The 15,335-nt window shown below is 40.8% G+C and overlaps 1 protein-coding gene across 13 annotated transcripts in view; it reads left to right on the top strand.

Moving 5' to 3' along the window:
• The window catches only part of TADA2A (transcriptional adaptor 2A), a 72,840-nt gene that overhangs the window by 31,507 nt on the left and 25,998 nt on the right, over nt 1-15,335 (top strand). For 11 of the 13 annotated variants that reach the window (NM_001166105.3, XM_017024981.2, NM_001291918.2 and 8 more), the window contains 3 exons: nt 2,113-2,270; nt 4,172-4,260; nt 6,304-6,376. In NM_001166105.3, coding sequence (NP_001159577.2) covers nt 2,113-2,270; nt 4,172-4,260; nt 6,304-6,376 — 320 coding nt within the window. The remainder of the gene's footprint in view (nt 1-2,112; nt 2,271-4,171; nt 4,261-6,303; nt 6,377-15,335) is intronic. The other 2 variants (XM_017024982.1, XM_047436612.1) reach the window with 1 other exon arrangement.

Consider the following 15,335-nt stretch of genomic DNA (forward strand, 5'->3'; position numbering starts at 1 on the left):
ATATGGATGCTTTTATTTTATGAACTAGATAGCAGAGGCATTATTGAATATATTTTGTTCACAAATTATCTGAAGCCTAGGGGGTTGAAATGATTTCTTGTGATTACATAGCTTATTACTGAAGGACTCTTAATTAGGTCCTCCCTGTCCTGACTTACTAGTGTATATAACCTTTCTTGGTGTTCATCAGAATAAACTCTGCTGCCTGCCTCCCTTATGTCCAGGGACCTGAAGAAGGAGACCTGAATTTAGTTCACATTTTGCTTGTATTCATTCATTCAGTATTTATTAAGCATCATAAAATACTGTGTACAATGAGAAATACCAAAGGAGGTAGAAAAGTAATCACTTGTGAGGAGTTTGCTAGTCATCTTTGGCCTAGTTTTTCATTTTTTGCTTACCATTCTCTCTAAAATAGTCTAAACCTCTCTGTCCTCCTTCCCTCTTAACAAAGAACATAAAAAAGACATAGCTTCTCTATCCGCTGTGGGTAAGGCACTAAGTTTGGCAGTGAGTGGGCTAGAGCTAAGAATTATGAGATGCATCCTGTCTTCAGAAAGCTTATAGTTTAGCAGGGGACTTAAAAATACAAGTGATTGAAGTACACAAAACAGCACAGTGATGCCTTAGGGGAGGTCAAGTGAAATGCTGTGAAAAAGAGACCTTGAGGAAAGGACTTCCACCTGTACCTCTCCATTACCTTGGCTCAAGTCAGGGATTTTTTTTTATTGAGACAGTCTCACTTTATCACCCAGGCTGAAATGCAGTGGTGTGATCACAGTCACTATAACCCCGAACTCCTGGGCTCAAGGGATCTTCCCTCCTCAGACTCCCAAGTAGTTGGAACAACAGGTGTGCGCCACCATACTCAGCTAATTTTTAAATTTTATTATTATTATTATTATTTGGAAACAGGATCTTGCTCTGTCGCCCAGGGTGGAGTACAGGGGCATGAGCTTGACTCATTTCAGCTTCAACCTTCCAGGCTCAAGTGATCCTCCCAGCTCAGGCTCCCGAGTAGCTGGGACTACCGGCGTGTGCAACCACCCCTGGCTAATCTTTGTATTTTTTGTTGAGATAGGATTTTACTGTGTTGCCCAGGCTGGTCTCGAACTCCTGAGTTCAAGCCATCCTCCCACCTTGGCCTCCCAAAGTGCTGGAATAACAGATGTGCCCCACCATGCCTGGCCAGATTCTTAAGCAAGTTTCTTAATTATTTTGGGCCTCATTTTTCCTTCTTTGAAATTGAGATAGTAACAATATCCATACCACAAATTTGATACTAGGTTTAACTTAAATTCTGTTGTGAATGTTTCTAGCTCAGTGTCTGGCATCTCATAGCAGCTCTAGTAAAGAAATGTTTATGTTAAGTGTTTGGTAAACCGTAAAATATTAGGCAAAATAAAACTATATTTCTGTATATTTTGAATGTTCTGAAGTCACTTCTTATTATTTACAGCAATTATTTCTGTAGGGCCTAGCTCACAGGAAAATTTACAAATTTTCCAGTCATCTTTATTTATTTATTTATTTATTTATTTATTTATTTATTATTTTTTTTTTTTTTTGAGATGGAGTTTCGCTCTTGTTGCCCAGACTGGAGTGCAATGGCGTGATCTCTGCTCACTGCAACCTTTGCCTCCTGGGTTCAAGCAATTCTCCTGCCTCAGCCTCCCAAGTAGCTGGGATTACAGGCATGCATGCACCACCACGCCTGGCTAATTTTGTATTTTTAGTAGAGACAGGGTTTCTCCATGTTGATCAGGCTGGTCTCTAACTCCCAACCTCAGGTGATCCACCTACCTCCCAAAGTGCTGGGATTACAGGTGTGAGCCACTGCGCCTGGCCTCAGTCATCTTTCTTTAAGTGGAAAAGAAAGGACTTTTTAGTCATTATTTCTGTGTTTTAGACTAGCAAGATATGGAACACCAGATTACACCAATCTAGGCTTATATTTATGTCATTTTTCTGCTGATATCTTTTTGATATCAATTTGGAAATATGAGAGTATATTATATGGATGTGACTTAAAATATGAAAAGAGCAAATGATGCTTTTAGTATTATGTGTAAATACAAGTACCACTTCTCTCTTTTTCCCACAATCCTCTAGGCAGGATGTAGCCAATCAAATGTGCACCAAGACCAAGGAGGAGTGTGAGAAGCACTATATGAAGCATTTCATCAATAACCCTCTGTTTGCATCTACCCTGCTGAACCTGAAACAAGCAGAGGAAGCAAAAACTGCTGACACAGCCATTCCATTTCACTGTAAGTGCCTCCCTATCTTGATAAGATATACTTAGCTCATCCTTGGGCCCTGTTTCAGTAGCAGATAAAGAGTGATTTGATGACTTGGACAGCTAATGATATCACGGAAGATAGGAGGAGTTAGTATGGCAGCTATTGAGAGTCAGGATCGACCCAGCATGGTGGCTTGTGCCTGTAATCCCAGCACCTTGGGAGGCTGAGGCGGGTAAATCACTTGAGGCCAGGAGTTCAAGACCAGCCTGGCCAACATGGCGAAACCCTGTCTCAACTAAAAGTATAAAGATTAGCTGGACGTGGTGGCAGACACCTGTAATCCCAGCTACTGGGGAGGCCAAGGCAGGAGAATCACTTGAACCGGGTAGGCGGAGATTGCAGTGAGCCAAGATCACATCACTGCACTCCAACCTGGGTGACAGAGTGAGACTTCATCTCTTAAAAAAAAAAAAAAAAAGAGTCAGGATTATAATGTGGCAAAGAAGGAACATACTCTAAGGGTCAGAGTTCTATACAGGACATCAAGGTGCTTGAAGCCAATGTGTAGTTCCACCTACCTTGAGTCCTTTGAACATATCAGTTAACTTAGTGCTTTCCTTTGTAAAATAAGATGTCAAAAAGGGAAAACCTTTTCTATGCTATTATGAGTGCAAGTTTTTTTTCAATCCCTTTGGAGAGCTTATGATTATACATATGAGTTGCTTAGAGAATACAGTATTTGACTCATTATTATTAATTGCCTTGGTGTCAAGCCCAAGAATCAGTTTGTTATTTTTGTTCGCTTGGTTGTGTCAGTGATGGCGAACTTTTTAATCTCATGTGCGTGTGGGACCAGTGGGTCTCTTAATAAAATATAACCAAAAACATGATGAATTATAAATGACCATCTTTCCTGAATGACTCTCAGGGTACAAGTAATGAGATATGAATGTTTTCACTTCCCTTTTCTCTTTCCTCATACTCTCTAGAAACAGTTTTATAGCTGACTAACTTAAAGGCTGGTAATACCTCCTTTTTTTTTTTTTTTGGAGACAGAGTCTCGCTGTGTCTCCCAGGCTGGAGTGCAGTGGCACAACCTCGGCTTACTGCAACCTCCACCTCCAGGGTTCAAACGATTCTCGTGCCTCAGCCTCCTGAGTAGCTGGTACCACAGGTGCATGCCACCACACCTGGCTAATTTTTTGTATTTTTAGTAGAGAAAAGGTTTTGCTGTGTTGGCGAGGCTGGTCTCGAACTCCTGACCTTATGATCTGCCCGCCTCGGCCTCCCAAAGTGTTGGGATTACAGGTGTGAGCCACCGTGCCTGGTTGATACCTCCTATTTGGATAGCACTTTGGTGTTAGCACTTTGTTCTCAAATCCATTAGACCATTTGTTTCCTAACAGCAACCCAGTGAGATAGGCAGAGCAAGTGCTTTTGTTTTACATTCGAGAAGACCGATGCAGACAGGTTAGTTTGTGCAGGGTCATGGGACTAGTGTGTGTTGGAGCTAGGACTTAATTTCAGCTAACTTCCAATTCCAGTGTTTGTTTTTTTCCCGTCTTTTTTTTTTTTTTTTTTTTTTGCCTCTCAGTTGGATGAGTTTTGTAAATTGAAGTTCATCCTAAGGGATAAGGGAGCCGAAGCCAACGGTAAATATTTAGGTTCTGTAATATTAAAGGAAAAAAGTCATGATTTCCTTTCATTTTAGGAAAGCAGAAATCAGAAGAAATTTCCCCATATTTACTTAAAGGATTGCCTGAGTCTTGGTTTTTCTTTTTAAAAAACCTGTTTTCATAATACTTTATCTTTTTCACATTTCCTTTTATAAAAACCATTTTAAATTTTATTTATTCTTGGACTATTATGTCATTTTTTTCATGCCAATATTGTATTAGTTAACTCAGAAACCTTCTAAATTCTTCCAGCTACAGATGACCCTCCCCGACCTACCTTTGACTCCTTGCTTTCTCGGGACATGGCCGGGTACATGCCAGCTCGAGCAGATTTCATTGAGGTAGGATAAATGTGTTTTTAGCACAAAGTAGGAAAAATTCATTTTTGTTTCTCATGAGCCTTCTGTCTCACCCATAGATTCCATACCACTAAAAGGAGATTTTTCAAGGCACTATAATTTGTAGGACCTTTAGGCAGCCACATTTTCTTAGGTTTGAGTGCCTTTTCTCATTTGTAAACATTTTCACATATGGAACAGTAAAAATTCTTTAAACAAACAACCTATTTCTGGCCAGGCTCAGTGGCTTACACCTGTAATCCCAGCACTTTGGGAGCTGAGAATGGAGGATCGCTTGAGTCCAGGTGTTCGAGACTAGCCTGGGCAACGTAGTGAGACCCTGTCTCTACAAAAAATAAAAAATTAGCTGGGTGTGGTGGTGCATGCCTGTAGTCCCAACTACTTGGCAGGCTGATATGGGAGGATCACTTGAGCCTGGGAGGTTAAGGCTGTAGCGAGTGGTGATCATTCCACTAAACTGCACCCTAGACAACAGAGTAAGACCCTGTCTCCAAAAAACAAAAAAACCCCAGCAAACCCACCTCTTAAGTTGCATCAGTGCTGGCTTCCACTTCCTTAGGTATGAAATTCCTATAGTCTGGTTCTTTTTTTTTTTTTTTGAGACAGAGTTTTTGCTCTTGTTGCCCAGGCTGGAGTGCAATGGCATGGTCTTGGCCCATTGCAACCTCCACTTCCTGGGTTCAAGCGATTCTCCTGTCTCAGCCTCCCAAGTAGCTGAGACTACAGGTTCCTGCCACCATGCCTGGCTAATTTTTGTATTTTTAGTAGAGATAGGGTTTCACCATGTTGGCCAGGCTGGTCTCAAACTCCTGACCTCAGGCAATCCACCAGCCTCGGCCTCCCAAAGTGCTAGGATTACAGGCGTGAGCCACTGCACCTGGCTTGTAGTCTGGTTCTTATTGTACATCTAGGGGCTTTCAAGATTGTACTGTATCAGGGGTTGACAAACTTATTCTATTAAAGGCCAGATAGTAAATATTTTAGGTTTAGTATGCTATAAAGTTTCTATTGTAACTATACTTTGTCATTATTGTGCTAAAGCAGCATGGGATAATATAAGAATAAATGAATACGCCTGTGTTCCAGTAAAACTTTATGTACAAAAACAGACAGTAGGCTGAATAGTAGTTTACTGATTCCTGTACTATATCCACAAGTATATAAAGAATGATGAATGTGTATAAAAACTATATGTTCCTTGCTCAGCTATGGAATTAAAAGACATGTGAATGTAGCCACAAGTCTCTTGATTTATCATCTAATTCACAACTTGAAAGATAGTTTGGCCAAATGCGGTAGCTTACACCTGTAAATCCCAGCACTTTGGGAGGCTGAGGCAGGCGGATTGCTTGAGCTCAGGAGTTTGAGACCAGCCTGGGCAACATGGCAAAACGCTGTTTCTTCAACAACAACAACAAAAAAAACCCGAAACCAAAAATTAACTTGAGTGTGATGGCACATGCCTGTAGACCCAGCTGCTTGAGAGGCTGAGGCAAGAGGATCACTTGAGCCTGGGGGTTCGAGGCTGCAGTGAGCCAAGATCACACCACTGCACTCCAGCCTGAGTGACAGAGTAAGACCCTGTTTCCAAAAAAAAAAAAAAAAGAATGAATTGACTTTATTTATTTATTTCAGAGACAGGCTCTTGCTCTGTTTCCCAGGCAGTCTTGAACTCCTGGTCTCAAGTGATTTTTCCACCTAAATCTCCTGAGTAGCTGGGATTATAGGTGCATGCTACTGTGCCCAGCTCAGACTAATTTTAGTTTTTAGAGCAGTATGTTTAGCTTCATTCCTAAACTCATAACTATTCCAATTTTTTGTTGTCACTACTGCTTGTAAGCCTCTTAGATTTTTCCCATGACTTCCTATTACCTGTGCCAGTATTGTGGCCTTTTGCCATATTTAGACTTTTTAAACAACTGTTTGCTTGTGTTTTTTCTGTTTACTTCTAAAGCATGGCTGCTGTAAAGACACTAATCAAAGCCGATGGGTTTGGGGTGGGGATTTTTTTGTTCCCCTAAACAGGAATTTGACAATTATGCAGAATGGGACTTGAGAGACATTGATTTTGTTGAAGATGACTCGGACATTTTACATGGTAACAGTTTATTTTGTCAAATGTTTATCGAGCGCCAACTGTGTGATGACACTGTCTTGGGTGCTAGGAATTGAAGGATGAATAGAACATGTCCCCTGCCCTTATAGAATTCAGAAATCTAGTGGTTAAGTTGCTGAACTTACTGTGTTGTTGGATTTTGACCACAGTGAATAAGACTTGTGATGAGGGTAAAAATATTGATTATATAATAGTAGTAGGAAATATCTGTTGGACTGTGTGATTTTACTTTTATCTGAGGTAAATCTACACTAAGGTAATTGGTTAAATGGCCCTCACTTGCATTCTTAGAAGGAAGGGAATCAGTTTGAATTCTTGGGACTTCACTAGCAACTGCTATCACTAAATGTTCACTATATTTTGTTACCCGGAATTTCCCCTAGCAAGGAAAAAGAATGGAAATTCCTCAAGAGTTTTTAGGCCCAAATGGGGAATTTCTTGTTTCTCAGGACTGTTGAATTTTCAACACTGCTGGATTCTTTTTTATGTTTGTTTTTGAGACGGAGTCTCACTCTGTTACACAGGCTGGAGTGCAGTGGCGCGATCTTGGCTCACTGCAACCTCTGTCTCCCAGGTTCAAGGGATTCTCCTGCCTCAGCCTCCCAAGTAGCTGGGATTACAGGTGTTTGCCACCATGCCCAGCTAATTTTTGTTTTTTTATTAGAGATGGGGTTTCGCCATGTTGGCCAGGCTGGTCTGCAACTCCTAACCTCAAGTGATCTGCCCGCCTCAGCTTCCCAAAGTGCTGGGATTACAGGCGTGAACCACCACGCCTGCCCCAGCATTGCTGAATTCTAATCTTTGATTAGCCCTCTAAGGGTTTATGTTAACTCTTTTCCTAAAACTTATGTGGTGAATGCCAAAGAGCTGTTAAGAGTAGATAGTTAGACTTTGAGTCCCTTTTTTCCTTCTTTCCATTTTCAGTGAACTACATACTAATATATACTAATACTACATAATAATACCCAATACTTTTTTTTTAATTTTAGTTCAGAATTGAATATGATACAGTAGATCAGTAATTCTCTATTGGAATCTGTATTTCCCAAAGAGCATCTTCATGATTTCTGTTAAATTTACATCCCAGGCAGGAAAGACAAGTAGAGTATACTTGTTAAATTATAAATCAAGTTTTCATATTGCATGGACTGGTACACTGTCCCTAGAAGGGGAACTTGATTCTTTTCTCTCCATAGAAGAGCTGCCTGGATATTTGTTATACCAGATCTAAGATAAAGAAATAGTCTTCCTAAAAATTTTACCTTAAGAAATTTTTCTCTACACATTTCTTGAGCGGTGGGTTTTTTTTTGGGGGGGTTTTTTTTTTTTTTTTGGCAACATTTTATTCCTCCTTTTCTCCCACACAACTTTAAGGAAAGTCAAAGTGACGCAGATTGAACTAAAAGAGGAAAGCTTGAAAGCAAACTACTTTAGCATTAACTAAATCCATTGTATTTGTTCAGTCTTCCGTGTCAGTCTCGTCAATCCCAGTGACTCATGTTATCTTTTCTCACCTCTTGTGGTGTTCCCTTTGAAGGTAGTATGCAGACTGCCATTCATAGACACCAGCTTTAATTGAAATGGTATTGTTTTCTGGCTTGTATCTTTCTTATAGAATGCCAGACTACTCTGCACAAAAGGGGCAGCTTCATAAATATCATTCTTTTAGATTCTGCTCAAAAATACCAAATTTTTGGCTGGGCATGGTGGGTCACACCTATAATCCTAGCACTTTGGGAGGCCGAGGCTGGCTGATCACTTGAGGCCGAGAGTTCAAGACCAGCCTGGGCAACACAGTGAGACCCTGTCTCTAAAAAAAAAAACCTTTAAAACAAATTTTTAAAATATTATTATTGTTTTTCCTCCTCCTCCTCCCTGCTTTTTATTTTTACCTATATATTTATTTTTTACAGAATTTTAAAGTCAACATCTATAATGTTAATAATGGCTTGACTTGGTGAATCACTTCTCTAGAGCCTAATCCAAGGTCTTCATTCATACTTCTCAACATTATTAAGAAAACTATAGTAATGGTCGGTGTTTAATTTCATTCTTCATTCTTCATGGGAGTAGGACTTGCAGTTCCTTCTGGTTCACTTGGGGTCCTTTTTGTAATTAAGTGGGGATAAAAAGAAACAGAAGCAACTGATTGATCAGCAATTTATAGTTCAGTTAGCTTTTCAAACCCATAACATACTTTAGGTATTTGTACTCTCCCTGAAGTTTCTATAGCCCTGTAAATTATTGATTTTCATTTGAGCTATAACTGGAACTTATGTTATTAATCTTTATACATAGTTAGCTTTAACACAACATAAATAATAATTCTTTCCCTCTGCCCCATAGTAAACTGTAAGATGTTTAGATGAGTGCTTTTATTTTTTATTTTTTTTGTGACAGACTCTCACCTTGTTAGCCAGGCGGGAGCGCAGTAGCGTGATCTTGGCTCACTGCAACTTCTGCCTCCCAGGCTCAAGCGATTCTCGTGCCTCAGCCTCTGGCATAGCTGGGATTAGCGCCACCATGCCCAGCTAATTTTTATATTTTTAGTAGAGAGAGGGTTTTGCCATGTTTGCAAGGCTGGTCTCAAACTCTTGGCCTCAACTGATCTGCCCACCTCTGCCTCCCAAAGTGCTGGGATTACAGGGGTTAGCCACCGCGTCCGGCCCTAAATGAATGCTTTTAAAAAGATGATAACACTTCAGATTTGGGTATGGTTGGCTCACACCTGTAATCCTAACACTTTGGGAGGCCAAAGTGGGAGGATTTCTTGAGCCCAGGAATTCAAGGTCAGCCTAGACAACAAAGTGAGACCCCCCACCTCTAAAAAATAAAAAAGATGATAACAGTTTAAAGAAGCTTGTCAGCACTACAGACCAAAGGAATGACTTGCTCATGCCACAGAGAGGTATTTTGTTTACAGCTCTGAGTCTTTACAGCAGCTCCTGTGGCAGCATGACCATGTCCAGGAGCATATTGTCCCTGAGCTGTCACTCGCAGAACACTCAGTGAAGTGCACTAGGAGCCCATGGAAAGTCAGGAAGGAATGAAAAGGGGCTTTATAAGCACACCTGGAACAGTTAGAGGGGCACAGATTTTGTAGAAATCAGGACACTGATTCAGCCTCTGGCTTGCTTCTGAGTCATGGTATAATCATGAGTAAGTGCTTGGAATCTTGCTTGCTGTTTCTTTATGTCCTCTGCCATTAAAGAAGAGGTGACACTGATTAGTCAGAGTGTAAATGTCTCTAATGAAACATGGTACATAATTCAGATTTGTGTTGTTACCATTCCATTATACCATTATGCTCTTAATATTACTGAGCATTAACAACATTATTTTTATGGTTCCTCATTTAGAACTACTGGAAGGTTGCAGACTGTTTGGCTGGGTTTTGTATTTAGAACCTATCCAGAATATTGGCTGATGCCACCAAGACCTTTTCCTCACCCACACAAAGATTTTTGCCTTGAATCATGGAATTTGTTTAATAAATTTGGTTTGCATGGTTCATTATAGAGACCTGGGACACAATGGAGGGATAATTGTATTGCAGCCATACCAGAAGGCTTTCAGAATGTATTTCAAATGTATACTGCAAGTGAAGCAGTATCCAAGGAAAAATAAGGAAGTTCCGTGATCCCTAATTGGTACTTACTCATATTTTATTGAAATAAGCAGAAATGTTTGGTTCAGAAAGAGAGAGAGAGAAGACTCATATCTTAGAACTGTCTTGTCTCATGTATGTTGTGAGATCTCAATGCACATGCTTAGTGTAGTTCCTTCTTGCTGCCATCTCTTTCCCCATCTCCTTTCATTTGTAAAAATTCTTCCTAAATTTTTAGAGTACTCTTTCCCTGAGTTTCTCAGGATCCTAAAGTCCTGGTTGTAATGTCTTCCAAGTCATTGTTGCCCCATAACCCAGGCAAGCAAGAGATATGATGAGCTCCTCCTATGTGTTGGGTCTGTGTTTCCAGTACTTCTCAGGGTTGCACCTTAGTACAGTTCACAATTTCTTCTCCCTCTGTTCTGGAAAGGTAATTTTAGAAAGTTTTCTCTCCTAGGCTTGGATCTGTGGACCCCTTCACCTTTCACTGTATTTTTCAAATTGTATTTCTTTGGCACATATTATTAGCCTTTAAATCCTTTAACAATTAGTAGAGCAGAGGTCCAGCCTGGTCTCTGTATATTCACCTACTGGCAGTTCCTTTCACTTATAGTGATTTCACTGTTTTTTTTTTTTATTTTTTTTGAGACGGAGTCTCGCTCTATCGCCTAGGCTGGAGTGCAGTGGCGCGATCTTGGCTCGCTGCAAGCTCCGCCTCCTGGGTTCACGCCATTCTCCTGCCTCAGCCTCCCGAGTAGCTGGGACTACAGGCACCCGCCACCATGCCTGGCTAATTTTTTGTATTTTTTAGTAGAGACGGGGTTTCACCATGTTAGCCAGGATAGTCTCGATCTCCTGACCTCATGGTCCACCCGCCTCAGCCTCCCAAAGTGCTGGGATTACAGGCGTGAGCCACCGTGCCCGGCCTGATTTCACTGTTTTATACATAGGATATTTTAGACATGAATACTATCAGTAATAATTGCTAATACATATAGCATTTACTATTAGTTACCATTCTAAGCTCTTCATATATATTAAGTCATTTAATCCTCAAAACCTTATGAGTTGCATATTATTATTATCCTCATTTTTGTGGATGAGGACATTGAAGCATAGAAAGGTTAGATAACTTGCCTGAGATCATACAGCCAGCAAGAGGTAGAGTCATCCCCAAGTCTGTGTTCTTAATACTGTACAATACTTAGCTGTCTTTACAATCTTGATTTTTTTTTTTTTTTTTTGAGACAGGGTCACGCCCTGTTGCCCATGCTGGAGTGCAGTGGCACAATCATGGCTCACTGCAGCCTCAACCTCCTGGGCTCAAACTATCCTCCCACCTCAGCTACCTGAGTAGCTGGGACTCCAGGCGTGCACCATCACACCTGGCTAATTTTTAAAATTTTTTTGTAGAGACAGGGTCTCACTATGTTGCTCAGGCTCAACCTTGAATGTTTGTTGCTGTTTCATTTTTGTGAGGTTTCACATTTGTTATCTTCTATAGCTTCAACACATTCCTGAGGAATAGATATTTTCCTGTTTTACATTCAGGGAAGCAGACAAAGAAGTTAAGTAATTTGCCTAATCCAGGGGTGTCAATCTTTTGGCTTCCCTGGCCCACACTGGAAGAAGAAGTGTCCTGGGCCACACATAAAATACATTAACGATAGCTGATGAGCTAAGGAATAAAAAACAAACAAACTCATAATGTCTTAAAAAAGTTTACGAATTTGTATTGCGCTGCATTCAAAGCCGTCCTGGGCTGCATGTGACTCACGAGCGACAGGTTGGATAAGCTTGGCCTAATGCTTCCTGGTTGCTTACTTTAGCCATTAGATCACATGATCTTCCCTGCACAAAATTGTTTGTGTGCATCTTGGCCAAAAGCTTGGGGGGAAATGACTTAAATAGTGTTGCTTCTGGGGAATACCTGTGTCACAGGTTTCTACTTGTTTGGTCGCAGTAGGGATTTTGATTGGCCTCCCTGCAGTTAAGGCCTCTGAGTTGGTTTTCTTGCCAAGCAAGCAGTAAGTGCCTTCTGTCAAGAAAACAGAAACATGTTGTTAGCTATTTTGAACAATGTTAGAAATACATTGCAGTGGGAAGGAGCTGCCTCTGACTTCTGCCCACTTCTTGAAATATTTTAAGGCTAGCCGTTTGGAAACTTTATCATTCTCCAGTGTAATCACAGGGAGACTGTGCTTCCCCCAAAGCTGAGATTTCAGGGGCCTTGTAGCAATGGACAAATTACAGGTGATTTTGGTTTGTTTGTTTATTTTTAATGATCTCTGGTTCTCTGTTTGCTAGCTTATACTGCAGCTTCCAGCTGCTTTAAGTAGACTGTGAGCAAGTGATTCTCATTCTTGTAGATTCTGCCTTCTCATTTCTGTTCTGCCTGCTGTGCTGTTGTCCTCCCTAGGTTATTCATACAGTTAAGATATTGTATTCAGTTGCTGCTGAGTGTGCTCAGAGATAGCTTCAAATATGAATTTTTATCTGGGAGAATTCCAGTTCTCCTCCCATTTGCTCCTATGTGTTTCTTTTCTTCCTTTTGTTCTCCAGAGCCAGTTGTACAAGTTTAAACTACTGAAGTGATCAAACTGTAGTACCAATTATCAGCAGTATTTATTCAGAGGCTTTTTTTTTTAAAAGAAACAGAGTCTCATTCTGTTGCCCAGGATGGAATGCAGTGGTACAATCTTTAGCTCACTGTAGCCTTGAATTCCTGGGCTCAAATGATCCTTCCGCCTTAGCCTCACAAGTAGCTAGGACAACAGGCACACGCCACCACACTTGGCTAATTTATAAAAAAAATTTTTGTAGAGACAGAATCTCAATGTGTTACCCAGGCTGGTCTCAAAACTCCTGGCCTCAAGCGATCCTCCCACCTCAGCCTCCCAAAGTCTGGGATTACAGGTTTTTTTGTTTTTTGGCTTTTTTTTTTTTTTTGAGACGCCCTCTGTAGCCCAGGTTGGAGTGCAGTGGTGCAATCTTAGCTCACCACAGCCTCTGCCTCCCAGGCTATAGCAATCCTCCCACCTCAGCCTCCCAAGTAGCTGGGACTACAGGCACATACCACCATGTCTGGCTATATTTTTGGTACATTTTTGTAGAGACAGGGTTTCACTATGTTGCCCAGGCTGGTCTCGAACTCCTAAGCTCAACCCATCTGCCCACCTCAGTTTCTCAAAGTGCTGGGATTACAGGTGTGAGCCACCATGCCTGGCCTTTTTTAAAAATTAAATCACTCCTACACAAATCTCAGGAAACAACATGGCATCTTGTATCTTACAAAAATCGCAGAAATGGGCCTGGCGCAGTGGCTCATGCCTGTAATCCCAGCACTTTGGGAGGCCGAGACGGGCAGATCACCTGAGGTCAGGAGTTTGAGATCAGCCTGGCCAACACGGTGAAACCCCGTCTCTACTAAAAATACAAAAATTAGCCAGACATGGTGGTGGGCACCTGTAATCCCAGCTACTTGGGAGGCAGGGGCAGGAGAATTGCTTGAGCCTGGGAGACAGAGGTTGCAGTGAGCCAAGACTGCGCTGTTGCACTCCAGCCTGGGCGACAAGAGCAAAACTGTCTCAAAAATAAAAAATAAATCACAAAAATGTTTTGTTAAAATTAGCAGTAATTTTACTGGCTCTTCAAGACATTTTCTTTCCTATTAAATTCATCTTACTGAGTAGATAAATGAGATAAGGCTTATAAAGATCTTGAAATATGGCCAGGCGCGATGGCTCACACCTGTATTCCCAGCACTTTGGGAGGCCAAGGCGGTGGATCACTTGAGGTCAGGAGTTGCAGACCACCCTGGCCAATGTGGCAAAACCCCATCTCTACTAAAAATACAAAAATTAGCTGGGTATGGTGGCGTGCACCTGTAATCCCAGTTACTTGGGAGGCTGAGGCAGGAGAATGGCTTGAACCTGGGAGGTGGAGGTTGCAGTGAGCTGAGATCATGCCACTGCACTCCAGCCTGGGAGACAGAGCGAGACTCCATCTCAAAAAAAAAGATCCTGAAATATGGTAAGTACTCAGTGTGTTTTAGCTATCATTATTGTATTTGTTTCCCTTTCTGGCTTTAACTGTTGACTTCCTAATCCTTCCTTTCTCTTAAGAGATAGAGTCCACTATAAAACTTGTATTTGGTTATACTGTATGTCAGAGGCACTTCCTATCCTTGTTTCTACCCACCACTTCTACCACATAGGCTTGTAAAGTGCATCTCCACCAGCATAACATTCTAAAGCCCATCATTCCACAGCAACTGTGTTATAAAACAGTGACAGGTATAGGCATTCTATGATATCTGGACTTTTATATGTAGCAACCCTATAAATCAAGAAATATTTCATTTGTAGAAAGAGTTCTGCTACCTAAAAAAAAAAAAGAGTTTGAAAACTATTGCCTTAAATCTTGGACCTGACAGTATTGAATTATTTTTAGTTTGTGGGCAGGATAAGGAAAAGTAAACCAATGTTTAAATATTTGAACTTGTTAGAAATGAACAAAAAGAATCCATGGTAGTTAATTTTTCTTTTTTACCCTAAACTTTTAAAAATACTGCATTTCCTCCCTTCTTCAGATTATCCAGATAGGACTTAGGTTATTTTTATCTCAGACCCAAGGGAGAATGACCTGGATAAAGTACTCCTGGACATCTCCCAGTGATTGAAGTTACATACATATATATAGGACATCTGCTCATAGCCCAGCATGTAAGATTTTGGTATTGAACTTTCCAGTCTAAGAATATCCTTCAGATGAGAACATGTAGAGAGAGAGAGAAAAGAAAAAGAGAGTATCTTAAGGGCAGGTAGCAGTGAGATGCACAGTAATGAGTCAGTATGTGGTATCAGAATTTATCTCTATTATCAGGGTTATTAACAGTGCATCAGCATTGTACATTGCTCAATTTTTGTTTGCTTTCATGTAATAAAAGAAATTATTGATTCTAATGAGCCATCGTATTCTGTTCTTTTACTTGATTGGTCCCACTTTTTTTCTACCCTAACATCTACTTCCAGCAGAAGTGTGGCTTCCAGTTGTTCCATGGAGGCACCTTCAGGGACTACTTCTGGGAAAGGCAGCTGGAGCTAGAACAGGCAGAAGGGGTTCAGCTAGAGCAGATCTGACTTATCTGTTCCAAATAAGATTTTATTTGAACATACAGTTTAAAACTTACTGTAGTAGAACATGTAAATAATGTGTTGACTTATTGCCCTCATGGGCTAAACTGGAACTTGGATCTCACATTCTTTGGATGAGGAATGAGATTGTATTACTCTTCAGAGTTAATCAGCATTCCAGAGGCTTTAGGCTCTATTT

Source organism: Homo sapiens, chromosome 17, assembly GCF_000001405.40.
Source record: "Homo sapiens chromosome 17, GRCh38.p14 Primary Assembly".
Taxonomy (NCBI): Eukaryota; Metazoa; Chordata; class Mammalia; order Primates; family Hominidae; genus Homo; species Homo sapiens.